Below are 14515 nucleotides of genomic sequence, written 5' to 3'. Positions count from 1 at the left end.
CCTTCTAGAAGGTATTCCTACCCCACTCTGTTCCTCAGGGAGCACACAGTTATCATACCCTGGCGCTGTTGCTTTATGTACTTGTCCACTCTCCCCATTAGCTTGTGAGAGCAGGGACTCCGTCTTGCTTTTTTGGTAATCCAGCACAACATTTCACAATTGGTGGGTACTCACTAAATATTTGTTAAATGATGATGCATTGAATGAATAAATACAGATTGCTATAAATTTAAAATTGCTACTACATTTTACAAGTGTAACTATTGCCTGGAAAACATTCATTTCTTATGTTCAGGGCATATTTATTTAATGTCTACTAGAAGTCGTCACATAAAATTTCAATATTATGTCTCATTTCTTTGAAGTGAGGGAAAATTTACCGCAACTTATAAAGATAGTGCAAGCCTTTGTGCAATGATATTGTAAGGGAAAAAGGAAAAAATGTCAATCTGGGCATTTTCCATTCAACAAACACTAGTTTTCACTTCCCATTTGGTTAAAGAGTTTACAAGTTTAACATGTTTCCTTCAATAAAGCTTATCCTCTTTCTTTCACCCATGCTTTTCCTTTTAAGTCTCCATGTCAAGTAATGGTGGTTCCATCCTTTTAGATCTCCAAATTAGAAACCTCTGCATAATTCTTTATTTCTTGATATCTTAAGAGTTATGTAAATAGTAGCAAAGCATGCTTTAAACTCATATGAAACTAGTAAGAAGCAGGGCAACTGGGTTTGGGGCCAGGAATTGCAACTAAAGGAATGACTCTCCCACCTGTCTATCATCTAAGGAGGAGCAGCTAAATCCAGTGGGGCAGTGAGATGCATTGTTGTCCATACTAGGAGTTTGCAAATCTGGCCTCTCATCAAAATCATTTTAGGAAATTTTTAGCACCATCATTCTCTATTCCCCATCTTCACCTCCATATACAGGTCTATATTAATTTAGATTTTATAGAGGTAGGGCCTGAAGTTTTTGACATGAAAGGCAATTCTGGGAACTATTGTTATATTTGAGATCTACTGTATTTATGAGAGAGGGGAGAGACAACGTAACAGGGCTTCTAAACAGCTGAGATGTTTAAAGTTCCTTTGTGAACTTGATTTCTAGTTCCTTAGAAATTCATCTGGTAGAATGCCCCAGGGGGCCTTCTAAAGGTTGGTAAGAACTCCTTAGAATGTTATGGACCCAGGTGACTAGTGTGAATGAGAAAACATTTTATTTTCCTCAGTGAACGACTGGAATCAGAAACCTAGAAATAACTTGCTGGTTCACCATCTAGACATGTGTGCCAGAGGTTAGGGAGGAACCCTGAAAAAGGTGTCCACATAAACTCCTGGGAAGCAAGTCACCCAGCACATAAAACATCAAAACCAATCTGCAGACTAATTCAAGACCTTGCTGACTTGTAGTGCAGGATCCCTCAGTTAACTGTCTTTGCCTAGGTCTTGGAAGGGGCAACAATGTAGATTTCTAATTCTGATGAATGCGGCTGAGGTTGGGTAGAGAAGGGCATTAAAAAATCTATGTACAGCATATTGATGCTACAACAAAAATTAAAACTCATATTTGGTTCTTTTTCTCTTTCTTCATTAATAGTACCCTTTGCCCTTATCATTTTGTGCCTGAAATGTTTCAGGAGCCTCTGATTAGTCTTTCTGCTCCACTGTGGCTCATCCCGTCCAGTTTCTCCTCTACATTACCTCCAGAAATACGTTGGTAAATGTAAATCTGACCACGTCTCTCTCCTGTTTAGCCCTAAACCCCATGCCACTGGTTAAAAAGTACCTAAATAATTCAACCTCATTTTGCCAGCTATGCTAAGCCCTTTACAATCTGGCTTGAACTAATTCTCATTCTACCCCTTGGCATTCTTTCCCCAAACAGAGTCCAGCCCTCTGAACATTTTGTTGTTTCTAGATGTGACTTTTTCTTTTGTGCTTTTTTTTTTTTCCTTGAGACAGAGTCTTGCTCCGCCGCCCAGACTGCAGTGCAATGGCACAATCTCTGCTCACTGCAACCTCCTCCTCCCAGGCTCAAGCTATTCTGCCTCAGCCTCCTGAGTAGCTGGGATTACAGGTGCCTGCCACCATGCCCGGCTAATTTTTTGTATTTTCAGTAGAGATGGGGTTTCATTATGTTGGCCAGGCTGGTCTCAAAACTCCTGACCTCATGATCCACCCTCCTCGGCCTCCCAAAGTGCTGGGATTATAGGCGTGAGCCACCACACCTGGCCATTTTGTGCTTTTTTAGTCTTGTCTTTGGCGACCTGTTGTTCCCTCTGCCTACAATGGCTGTATTCTTTTCTAATTGGGAAACTTCTAGTTATCCCTAAAACCTAAATCAGAATGTTAGTAACTTTGAGATAAACTTCCTGATTTCTCCAACAGTCTCCTGATAACTTCTGTCCTTTCTTCTTATTTCTAAGAGAATATCTATCATATCCCATTGTTTATTATAATACTTATCACTTATAGTAATTATAATTACCTATTGATATGTCTATTTCCATCTTCACATTATAGCTTCATTGAAATAAGAAACTAGGGCATATTTATTTTCAGTTTCTCAGTGTTTGTTATAATTCATGACACACAGATATTTTAAAATATCTATTAGAAAAACCATGATTAAATAATATAGATGACTATATTATATAATTTAAGGTACACTGGAAACAAAGTATTGTTCCATTAATTAATTTCTTTTTTACTTTTTAATTTCTAAAATTATAATGATTTTAAAATTATGCTTAAATCTTGACTCATTATTGACTCCATAATTGAAAACATTGTCCTGAACTCTGAAGGGGTAATACTTTAAGTCTTAGAAGATAAACAAAAATATACATATTTTAAAATATTAGATTATTTTCTGAAATTAGATGAAGAAATAAGAGAAGAACACTGTCATAGTAATGTTGGCAAAAGGTAGAGAGGAGAAGGGAGGGTGGAGACGATGCTGTGCATTTATTCACTCAACAGCATTTCTTATGCCACTATTATATGTCAGGCACTGTGTTAGCCACAGAAAAATATGAAACTCTCCTTTATCAAAAAGTACTCGAGGAACATAAAGGTGAAATGAGAGATATTCAAAAGTATACTTTCTTCATGTCACAATTGTCATAGTTCTGGGCCCTATCATCATCAACCATCAATTTGTCTTTTTTCTCAAATGTTCTAAAGCTCTTAAATTCAACTCTTTAGATCTAATTGGTCATATGACTAGTACTTTGAATTTCAGAGTGGCCTCTAATGTGGGCCAGAGAGTACTCTATCTTCATAAATTATTTGAAACTAGAATTGAACTATTTATATATTTCAAATTATTAATAAGCACCTGCAAAACAACCACCCAAAACAGTGACTGAATTCTACTCATTTCATTTCCTGATTCCTTCTCCCTAATTTGACCCACCTGTATTAGTCTATTTTCATTTTGCTGATAAAGACATACCCAAGACTGGGCAATTTACAAAAGAAAGAGGTTTAATGGACTCACAGTTCCACATGGCTGGTGAGGCCTCACAATCATGGCAGAAGGCAAGGAGGAGCAAGTCACATCTTACATGGGTGGCAGCAGGCAAAGAGAGAGCTTGTGCAGGGAAACTTCTGTTTTTAAAAACATCAGATCTCATGAGACTCATTTACTATCATGAGAATGGTGCAGAAAAGACCCACCCCCATAATACAATCACCTCCCTCTGGGTTCTTCCCATGACACTGTGGGAATTGTGGGAGTTACAGTTCAAGATGAGATTTGGGTGGGGACACAGCCAAACCATATCACCGCCTGATATAACCATAATATCTTGAAAATCAAGTTATTTTTAGTGTAACTATTTATTATTAAATTATCCCTTGCTATATATATGTAATTTGTAATATATAACAAACCACAGAGACATACAACAAATGGATAAATCTTAGCAGTATAATATTAAATGAACCGTTCCAAAGTATAACAGAGGACATTCTTTTTATTAAGCTAAAAACTACCTATATATGTAAATAAAATTACTTGTCCCTTGCTATATACATAGTTATATATAAATTATACAGTTATAGCTATATATACCTATATATAATATTTAACATATTTATATAATATAAATTACAGAGTTATATATAGTTATATATAACTTTAATTTATAATATATATGGCAAGGGTCGTTTACATATATAGGTATATGTATATTTACATATATAGGTAGTTTTTAGCTTAATAAAAAGAATGTCCTCTGTTATACTTTGGAACGGTTCATTTAATATTATATTGCTAAGATTTATCCATATTGTGTGTTTCTGTGGTGTGTTAATTTTGATTGTTGTATAATATTCCTTTTTGTGATATTAATAGTTTTGTATCTATTCTTCTGTTGATTTGGGTTGATTCAAGACTTATATAGCTAACAATGACACTATGGACATTCCAGTTAACAATGACACCATGAACATTCTTTTAGATATCTCAGGTAATATATGCAAGAGTTTCTCTTGGGTATACACCTGGGAATGGAAGTAGTGGTCATCATTTATATAAATGTTGAATTTTGAAGATAATGTCGGTCAAATTGTTTTTCAAAGTGTTTTTACCTATTTATTCTCCCACCAGCAATGTACAAGAAAGCCTGGGGGCCAGGTGCGGTGGCTCATGCCTGTAATCCTAGCACTTTGGGAGGCTGAGGTGGGTGGATTGCCTGAGCTTAGTAGTTCAAGGCTAGCCTGGCAACATGGTGAAACCTTGTCTCTACTAAAGTACAAATTAGCAGGATGTCGTGTCACATGTCTGTGCCTGTAATCTCAGCTACTTGAGAGGCTGAGGCACAGGAACCTGGGAGGTGGAAGTTGCAATGAGCTAAGATTGCGCACTGGACTCTAGCCTGGATGTCAGAGCAAAACGTTGTGTCCAAAAAAATTTAAAAAAGCCTGCAGCTTCAACCATCTTCAGGTCTTGGTATTAACAGACTTTTAATTTTTTATCAATTAAATGAGTATAAAATTATAGCTCTTTGTGGTCTTGATTTCATTTATTCTCTAATAATGCTGACCGTCCCATTATGTGCTTATTGGCTATGTGTTTTCTCTTCTCTGAAATGTCTGCACCCTTGCCCCCCTACACACAATGAATTGTTTGTACTTTCTTGTTGATTTGTAGGAGTTCATTATGTATTCTTGATGCTTATTTGTGTTGATTTTGTGTAATGAAAGCATCTTCTCCCACTTTGTAACTTCTATTTTTACTGCATAGTCTCTTAATAAACATTTTAAATTTTACTACAGTTAAACTGACCAATTTTTTAAATCTTTTTTTTCTTTTTTCTTAAGAAAATATTTCCTACTCTTAGGCCCAGAAGATATTCACATATATTTTCTACTAAGAATTTCAAGGTTTTTGACATTTAAGATCTAAATCCAATTGGTAGCCATTTTCTCTCTCTCAACTTACTGAAAAGTACCATATTTCCTATTGTCTGACATGCTATGTTAGTCATATACCAATGTTCTGGATATACCATTTGTCATATACCAAAGTTCTAAGCTCTCAATCTTGTCTTATTAGTTTGCCTGACTCTGTACCAATATAACACTATCTTAATAAATAAATCTTCATTAAAAATACTTAATCTGATAAAAAAAGTTCCTCCTCCCTGCTATTTCTCAGAAACATTTTAGCCATCATTTGCCCTTTATTTTTCTGTTTGGAATAATATTTTCAAATTCTATAAAAAATGTTTTGGTGTTTTGATTAGTATTGAATTTGTAGATCAATTTGTGAGAGAATTGACATCTTCATAATATTTTCTATCTATGAACATGGTATGTTTATCAACCTTTTTAGGATTGTTGACATTCTTTGATATAATTTTATTACTTTGCCCATAGAAATCTTACGTATTTTCTGTTTTTGTTTATAGATATTTCATATATTTAAATTTCATTTATTTCTACTTTTATTTGTACTTGTCCCTGAATTTGAAGTTTTTCTCCTATATTTCTATATTTACATTTTAAGACACTAACATAAGAATACATAGTTGAATACTTATTTTATCCCCAAATAAGTTAAAGCAGGCTCCTGTCCTTTTGACTCGATCATTTTTTAAGAATTAAATTATATTAGAGAATTGAATTAGAGAAGTGATTGGTAGCATTTTGATTAGATAAGAACAAAAATCTTTGACTATTTTTCTTCTACAAATAATACTTTCAGTATTGTATGGGAATAGAGACGAAGCAGGAATAAATAAATGCTGTTTAATGGTTTATATATTTTTAAGCACATAAACATGTACATGGAGAAGGGAAGGTGTGTCAGCCTGCAGTTGGATTTCGTAAAAATAAACCTTGGCATAATTTTTGACCTCATTAAGCAATATGGATTCATAAATTCAGTATCAATTATGCAAGCAGTATATTTTTCTAATAAAATTATATTTATATAGAAGCATTATTTTCTATATGTGGGCCCACTAAAAATACCAAATGTTTTTAGTAAAGTTAAAATTATGAATCATAAAAATATATAAAACTGAATTATCTTCTTGCATGGTCAGGATGGAAGAATTTTCAATTTCTCATGATTTGTGAATATAAAATTGGCCTTCCTGGGATTTGGATCAGAATTGCTCATGCAATGAAGTCTAGACTCTTGTTACACAAATTTATCAGCCATTGCCAACTTTCCAGATTTCTTTTGTTGCAGAAAAGTCCTTGAGAATAGGCACCATAAGGAAATTCAGTTGAGAGAGTATAAGAAAATGTGTATACTGCGCCAAATATTTCTTATAATTGACTTGTGACATAACTATACACAAAGTGAGCTTTTTTTACCAACATTTTTCCTCCTGAGTTTCATGGACAAATCTAAATTCTAATGACTTCACAAATACAACTACAAATAGATTACATTTGAAGGAAAAAGGTATTTGTCTTTTACAATCAGTATGCAGGGTATGCTAGAAAAGGAAATGTAACCCAAATCATTTTAAAGAAGGAAAGTATATGCTTGCATATAAATGATCCAAAGTCTTGCTTTTAAAATTGGCCTGTGGCAATACATATATAAAGTCTTTTAACTGAGTATAAATTTAGCTGCCTTTCAGTTTTTTAGTTAGCTTGTTTCTTTCTTACTTTTACTTTTTGTGTTTTTTTGCTTTTCTGGAGAGAGAGTTAATGTTAGTCCAACTGGAAGAATTTTGAGTAAAATGGAACACAAAAAATTAATTGAAATGTTAGCAATTTCCATGACCATAAATAGACTGTCAGTTCATAAAATTTTATCATTAAGCCATGAGAAAAACATTCTCACTTGAAAAGATGAAATTCATTGAAGATAGAATAATCTACATTTACATATGTTTTTACTTTGGTTATATAAGTTTTAATATATTTTCTTAAATATTAAGAAATAGAGTGTGTTTCTGTTTAGAAATATGGCATTGTTTGAATTACTTTTAAATTTTTCTACAACCAATACTTACTATTGCATCATTCCAAAAAGATCATTTTTATTTCAAAACATCCCAAGTAATATAGGAAAATAAGAAAGGCTATATAATGTTTATTTGGCTTGTTACTGATTGAATTTCCCCCTGTGTAAAAATACTTAGAAGATGCAGTCCCAGAAAAACATATAACATTTTCTTTTAAATTTAACAGTAAAGAAGAATCATCAGTAACATCAGAAGAAAATAACTTTGAGAATCCAAAGAATACAGGTAATATTCTTCATTAATTTTAAAACCAAATTTGTCTCTTTTGTGAAAGTCTACAATTAAAACAATCTTACATAGGCACAATTATATTAACTTTTCAGATACCTATATCCCAACAATCATTTGTTCTCATGAGGACAAGGAAGATTTGGAAGCCAGTAATCGAAATGTAAAAGATGTAAACAGGGAACATGATGAACATAATGAAAAAGAATTAGAGTTGATGGTAAGTGTTCTGGTTGCCACGGTATTAGAGAAGATGAATCCATTTCTGCTTCAAAGATGCTGCAATGCCTGCCTTTCAATAGCTTCAACTAATATAATTTGCAAATGTGAAAGCACAGCCTATTCTGTCCTTGCGTCTCTAGCTTGATCAACAAGGCACTTTGATTTCTGTATGTTGCTTCTGGTCTCTGCAGTGGTAAATTAATGACATTCATTTCTTATCTCTTTACCAGTGGCTCTGAGTAATAGTTTGCAGGAATTACAGGAGAGGTAGCACTATCCTGATGTGCATTTCTAATCTTTGTGACAAGTGTATACTTAGCATAAACTCGTCTATAAAATGAGAGGGCTGGACTAGAGGATTGTTAGTGTCCTGTCCTACTCTAGAAGTCTATGATTCTCACATGTAACAGCATTTTTTAAAAAATTCCATCCTTGTGAGAATCTCCAAGTTCTATATCATTGTAGAGTATTAAATTACCAAGTAAAAAGAAAATAGCCTGTGCCATAATTTTAAAACAGGAAACAAATTCAGTACTATACAACTTAGTATTAAATTTGTTATAAATTTCATACTTGGTGAGCATTCAATCTATTTGGAATTTTTTGGGGGGATGGTTTATACAGCACTTTTATCACAAAGGAAGAAATAGGAGTAAATGAGTCACATAATGCAATTTATCCTTTACTGTATTTGGATGGAGCTCATATCATTGGAATACATGGATTCATAATCATCTAAGATTAAAATGACATTTGTCTCTTCAAGTGTCAGTGCTGAAACAGGAAAGAAATAGAGCTCATCTATTTCCCCACATATTCCACCTTTTCTATAGTGATCGCGGAGCTGCATCACTAAAGTATGCAATTTACTTTGCTCCAACTTTAAGAAACTACAAAGTTGTCACCCATTGTGAGAATTCTCACCAGCTGAAAGTTAACATGGCCATTTTTTTCAAACCACAGAATATAATGAAAGGGCCCTGAAAAATCACATACTTCACCAATACATCTCATTACGATGAGCAGGCTCAAATATAAAAGTTTGTTTAGAAGTTACTGAGATTGTACATCCAATAAATGAACAGGGAGCTGTAATTTAGATGCTAATTTGCTCCATGCTGACGTTAATGCATAAAACAATGAAGCTCTATAATAGATGGAAATACAACCAAATCTGTGGAACCCACAGGCATTGGCTTACAAGACAGCTGTGCAGTTGACAAGTAACATGAGCCTTATGTGAGAAGAAGGGGAAAACGTAAGATTTGCATATAATTATTGAGATCATGCAAATGTCAGTTATGAGGAGAAAAAAAAAAAAACACAGGCATCTCACTGTTAAATCCTGACAGTTGGCATCACTGAAGAGCTCAAATACATTTGAGTACCAGTTGGCAGAGGGTCATTAAAACAGAATTTGCAGAGACATTAACTCCCTCACTTTTCTTTGAGTGACGTTTTGCTATTAATAGTTTGCAGAGGCTTTGCAGAAAACATATTAATAAGAGAAACTGTAATGGGGGCACCTACAGCAAGTGTAAATGCAGCAAGGGGCACCCAGGAAGCTGCTGTCTAATTGATTAGCATGGAGCTATCAATGTGTATAGTCTAAGTGAGGAGAAAGTGCAATGACAAGCAAGAACAGTTGAATAATACAATGTGATAGTTGGAAGCTGGGAAGGAGAGTGATAAATTTGGGCCCCCTTTCTTACTAATCTCGTTCCCCAGTCATAGCCTGCAAGGATTTCCCCAAAACATCTGGCTTCCAGAGTTTATATGAAATCCACAAATGAAATCAGTCAAAGAAATCTACCAGATAATTACTAGCCGAGTTAATAAAACCTATCTAATTCACTATATATTTTAAAAGATCTTATGGTCATTATTTCTTTGTTGTTTTTATCCCATAAGATAAATCAACACTTAATAAGAACCAGAAGTACTGCTTCCAGAGATGAAAGGAATACATTTTCAACAGATCCAGTCAATTTTCCAAATAAAGCAGAGGGGTTAGAGAAGAAGCAAATCCATGGTGAAATATGTACTGACTTGTTCCAAAGGTCTCTGTCTCCAAGTTCATCAGCAGAAAGCTCCGTAAAGGGAGATTTTTACTGCAATGAAAAATATTCCTCAGGAGATGACTGTACACATCAACCTTCAGAGGAAACTACTTCAAATATGGGAGAAATCAAGCCATCATTGGGAGATACTAGTAGTGATGAACTAGTGCAATTACATACTGGCAGCAAAGAAGTCCTGGATGATAATGCTAATCCAGCCCATGGCAATGGCACAGTGCAAATACCTTGCCCCTCTTCAGATCAACTAATGGCAGGAAACCTTAATAAAAAACATGAAGGAGGAGCTAAAAATATTGAAGTAAAAGATTTGGGATGTTTACGAAGAGATTTCCATTCAGATACGTCGGCATGTCTCAAAGAATCAACAGAAGAAGGATCTTCTAAGGAAGATTATTATGGCAATGGTAAGGATGATGAAGAACAAAGAATATATTTAGGTGTTAATGAAAAACAAAGAAAAAATTTCCAAACAATCTTACATGACCAAGAAAGGAAGATGGGTAACCCTAAAATAAGTGTGGCAGGGATTGGAGCTAGTAACAGAGACCTGGCTACTCTGCTGAGCGAACATACCGCAATCCCCACCCGGGCAATCACAGCAGATGTGTCTCATTCACCAAGGACAAATTTAAGTTGGGAAGAAGCTGTGTTAACCCCAGAGCATCATCATTTGACTAGTGAAGGCAGCGCTTTAGGAGGGATAACTGGTCAAGTTTGTTCATCAAGAACTGGAAATGTTTTGAGGAATGATTATCTTTTCCAAGTTGAAGAAAAATCAGGTGGGATTAATTCTGAAGATCAGGATAATAGCCCACAGCATAAACAAAGTTGGAATGTTCTGGAAAGTCAGGGAAAATCAAGAGAGAATAAGACAAACATAACAGAGCATATCAAAGGACAAACAGATTGTGAAGACGTGTGGGGAAAAAGAGATAATACGAGGAGTTTGAAAGCTACTACAGAAGAATTGTTTACCTGCCAAGAAACAGTGTGCTGTGAACTGTCTTCTCTAGCTGATCATGGCATTACTGAGAAAGCAGAAGCTGGTACAGCCTATATAATTAAGACAACATCAGAAAGTACTCCAGAAAGCATGTCTGCTAGAGAAAAAGCAATAATTGCTAAGCTACCTCAAGAGACAGCACGAAGTGACAGGCCCATCGAGGTAAAGGAAACAGCGTTTGATCCACATGAAGGGAGAAATGATGATTCACATTATACCCTTTGTCAACGAGATACAGTAGGTGTAATCTATGACAATGATTTTGAAAAGGAATCACGTTTAGGTATTTGTAATGTACGTGTAGATGAAATGGAGAAGGAAGAAACCATGTCTATGTACAATCCTAGGAAGACACATGACAGGGAGAAATGTGGCACTGGAAATATAACATCTGTGGAAGAATCCTCATGGGTCATTACAGAATATCAAAAAGCAACTTCAAAACTGGATTTACAGTTGGGAATGTTACCAACAGACAAAACTGTATTTTCAGAAAACAGAGATCTTAGGCAGGTTCAAGAATTATCAAAGAAAACAGACTCGGATGCCATTGTGCATTCTGCTTTTAACTCAGACACTAATAGAGCTCCTCAGAATAGCTCTCCTTTTTCCAAACATCATACTGAAATTTCAGTGTCAACTAATGAGCAGGCAATTGCTGTAGAGAATGCAGTTACTACCATGGCTAGCCAACCTATTTCTACGAAATCAGAAAATATTTGTAATTCAACAAGAGAAATCCAGGGTATTGAGAAGCACCCTTATCCTGAGTCTAAACCTGAAGAAGTTTCCAGAAGTTCAGGAATAGTGACATCAGGTAGTAGAAAAGAAAGATGCATAGGCCAGATTTTCCAAACAGAAGAGTATAGTGTGGAAAAATCTCTAGGGCCAATGATTTTAATCAACAAACCTCTTGAGAATATGGAAGAAGCAAGGCATGAAAATGAAGGATTAGTAAGCTCTGGGCAATCACTATACACTTCAGGTGAAAAGGAATCTGACAGCTCTGCTTCTACTAGTCTTCCTGTTGAGGAAAGTCAAGCTCAAGGCAACGAATCTTTGTTTTCAAAATATACCAACTCTAAAATACCTTATTTCCTTTTGTTTCTGATATTTCTTATAACTGTCTACCATTATGACTTAATGATTGGCTTGACATTCTACGTTTTGTCATTGTCCTGGCTATCCTGGGAAGAGGGTAGACAAAAAGAGTCTGTCAAAAAGAAGTAACCTCAGCACTACTATTCTCTCTTAAAAGATAAGCTATTTAACCCCAAACATTTGGATTGGTGAATGGGACTATTCATTGTTCAAAGATCCAGTGCAGTTTTTCTCTTGAAGGATCATTTAAAAAGGGACGCGAATAAGTTTGCTCCTTCATATAAGTAATTATTCTATATAGGACCATTATGTTTGGATCATTAAATACCTATATGAATATGAGATCTGAAGCACGTCAAGTTGAAATTAGGTACAGCTGTTGCTCCTTAGCAGGCTATGAAGTTGCAATGCTTCACATCTCTTCACTACTTAAAGTGCTATTTCTTGCATTCATTTCTCTTGCAATAAAGCTTCATTTTTTTTTCCCCTTGAGAGTATATATTTTCCCCTACGGTTTTAAAAAACAGATAAAACATGGACAATGGCAGAGGACTTTTTTGGTCTTTTAGTATTGAACATGAAATTTGTTCAATTTATCATTTATCAGGATTCATTGATCAAATATTTCAACCTTTCATATTTTTAAGAAAACACCCATATATATTGAAATGCAAACTTAAACATATTCTGTTCACTTGAGTGTAATACTTGATGCATGCACACACACACACACATACCTTCTTTATAGCTACAAAGTCAGGGCGTTCATAGGCAAAATCTGACAAGACTGAAACAATTGGGAGATTATCTTTCAATTCTGAAAAATTCTGTGGGTGGCCTGTCTTTAAGCAATGCTTTTCTCTTGTGAGGGAAGACTGTAACACAGCTGAACTATTTCAGTGTCAACTATTCAGAATTGAAAATGTAAATTAAAATTTCCACAAGCATTGCTTCAGAATGAATTTGTACCTATAAAGCATAAGGCATTAAATGACAATAAAAATTCCAAATGGACTATTTGTTCCACATTGTATTTTTGTCTTCAAATATTTTCTAAGAGAATGAATTATCCCCCAAAATGCATTTAGAAAACAGTCTTTGGTGATATTTATTATATGATTATCAGGTTGTTAGATGATAACTCAAAATTTTCAGTAGGCAAATAGGTAATGTGGAAATCTGAAGAAGAAATGAATATCCAGTATAGCAGTGACTTTGACTGCTGTTATTACCTATAGCTAAGTGTGTATGATAATGAAACTCATCATTTTAGTCAAGTAGAGGCAATGCAAAGATTCACATAGTTTATTTCAACTATTTATTGAATGATTACTATATGCAAAACTCTGTGCTCTGTTCTGTGGCATAGAACTTCCTTTGATATGCTGCATAGCTAGTTCTAGGCATAGGTACGTAGTGTGACACTTCTGACTTCACTGAAATTATGGAAGAAAGACACCCAGAGGAGGCCTCTTTGGTTGGTTCTTTTTTCATAGGAAATTCCTTCATAAAACATGTAACACTGATCTTCAGATAGAAAAAGCAATCTGTTTATTTACCTGTAAGGGCAAAGTCAATGAGTACAACTTGCATATGTCATCCCATATAACTAAGACATATGCATTTATGGGAAGACAAAACAAGAATGAAACACTTATACTGACTTTCATCTGGTAGTAGATGATTTCCTTAATTTTTATTAGGTACGTAACTATTTCCAAATCCTCTAATTGCATACTACTCTCAAGTCCCATTGAAAATGAATGCTTGACTTCAACTTTTTAGTTGACCAAATACAAACATCCTAAAGTAGAGCTTAGGGCAAATATTTGATTGAGAGGGCACAATTTCATTCAGTACAAGAGAAGTACTGTAAGCAGTACCTAGAAATAATCTCTAAAATTGCTATCCTGATAATTTTGTTGACAGGTCTAAATTACAATGAAGTTAAGGTTAGGATTTCCTTAGTTCTTAATGTCTCAGTTTTTGAATTCTACCTTTAAGGGTTTTAGTCAACATGCCATATCTCATTATTGCAGAGAACACTACATTACTTTATGAACACAGGTGTCTGAGCTAGAATTATTCTCTTAAAAGACAACATAACTTTTTATGTCTTTTATTTACTTTTTGGTAATATTAACTTACCAAATCTTCTCCTATGCATTTTTAATATGACAAAACAAATTTTAAAAGATTTGAAATAATTGTATTTCTCTGAATTCAGTGAAGAAATAATTCATGATTCAACTGCATCTCCAAACATTACTCATGACCTTGAAATAAAATAGGAACCTATGAAACTATTGATATGTGAATAGATGGGTTATTTCAACCTGTTTTGGTCACATCACTATGCCGAGCAAGAAAAGTGGATCTCAGGGAG

At 34.6% G+C, this 14515-nt stretch overlaps 1 protein-coding gene across 2 annotated transcripts in view; it reads left to right on the top strand.

The window, feature by feature from the left end:
* PPP1R3A (protein phosphatase 1 regulatory subunit 3A) overlaps positions 1-13204 on the top strand; it is a 42233-nt gene extending 29029 nt beyond the window's left edge. For both annotated transcript variants that reach the window (XM_005250473.4, NM_002711.4), the window contains 3 exons: positions 7661-7719; positions 7818-7942; positions 9856-13204. In XM_005250473.4, coding sequence (XP_005250530.1) covers positions 7661-7719; positions 7818-7942; positions 9856-12258 — 2587 coding nt within the window. In that variant the 3' untranslated portion in view covers positions 12259-13204. The remainder of the gene's footprint in view (positions 1-7660; positions 7720-7817; positions 7943-9855) is intronic.

Source organism: Homo sapiens, chromosome 7 (assembly GCF_000001405.40).
Source record: "Homo sapiens chromosome 7, GRCh38.p14 Primary Assembly".
NCBI classification, from domain to species: Eukaryota; Metazoa; Chordata; class Mammalia; order Primates; family Hominidae; genus Homo; species Homo sapiens.
This window is presented reverse-complemented; position numbering and strand designations above follow the sequence as displayed.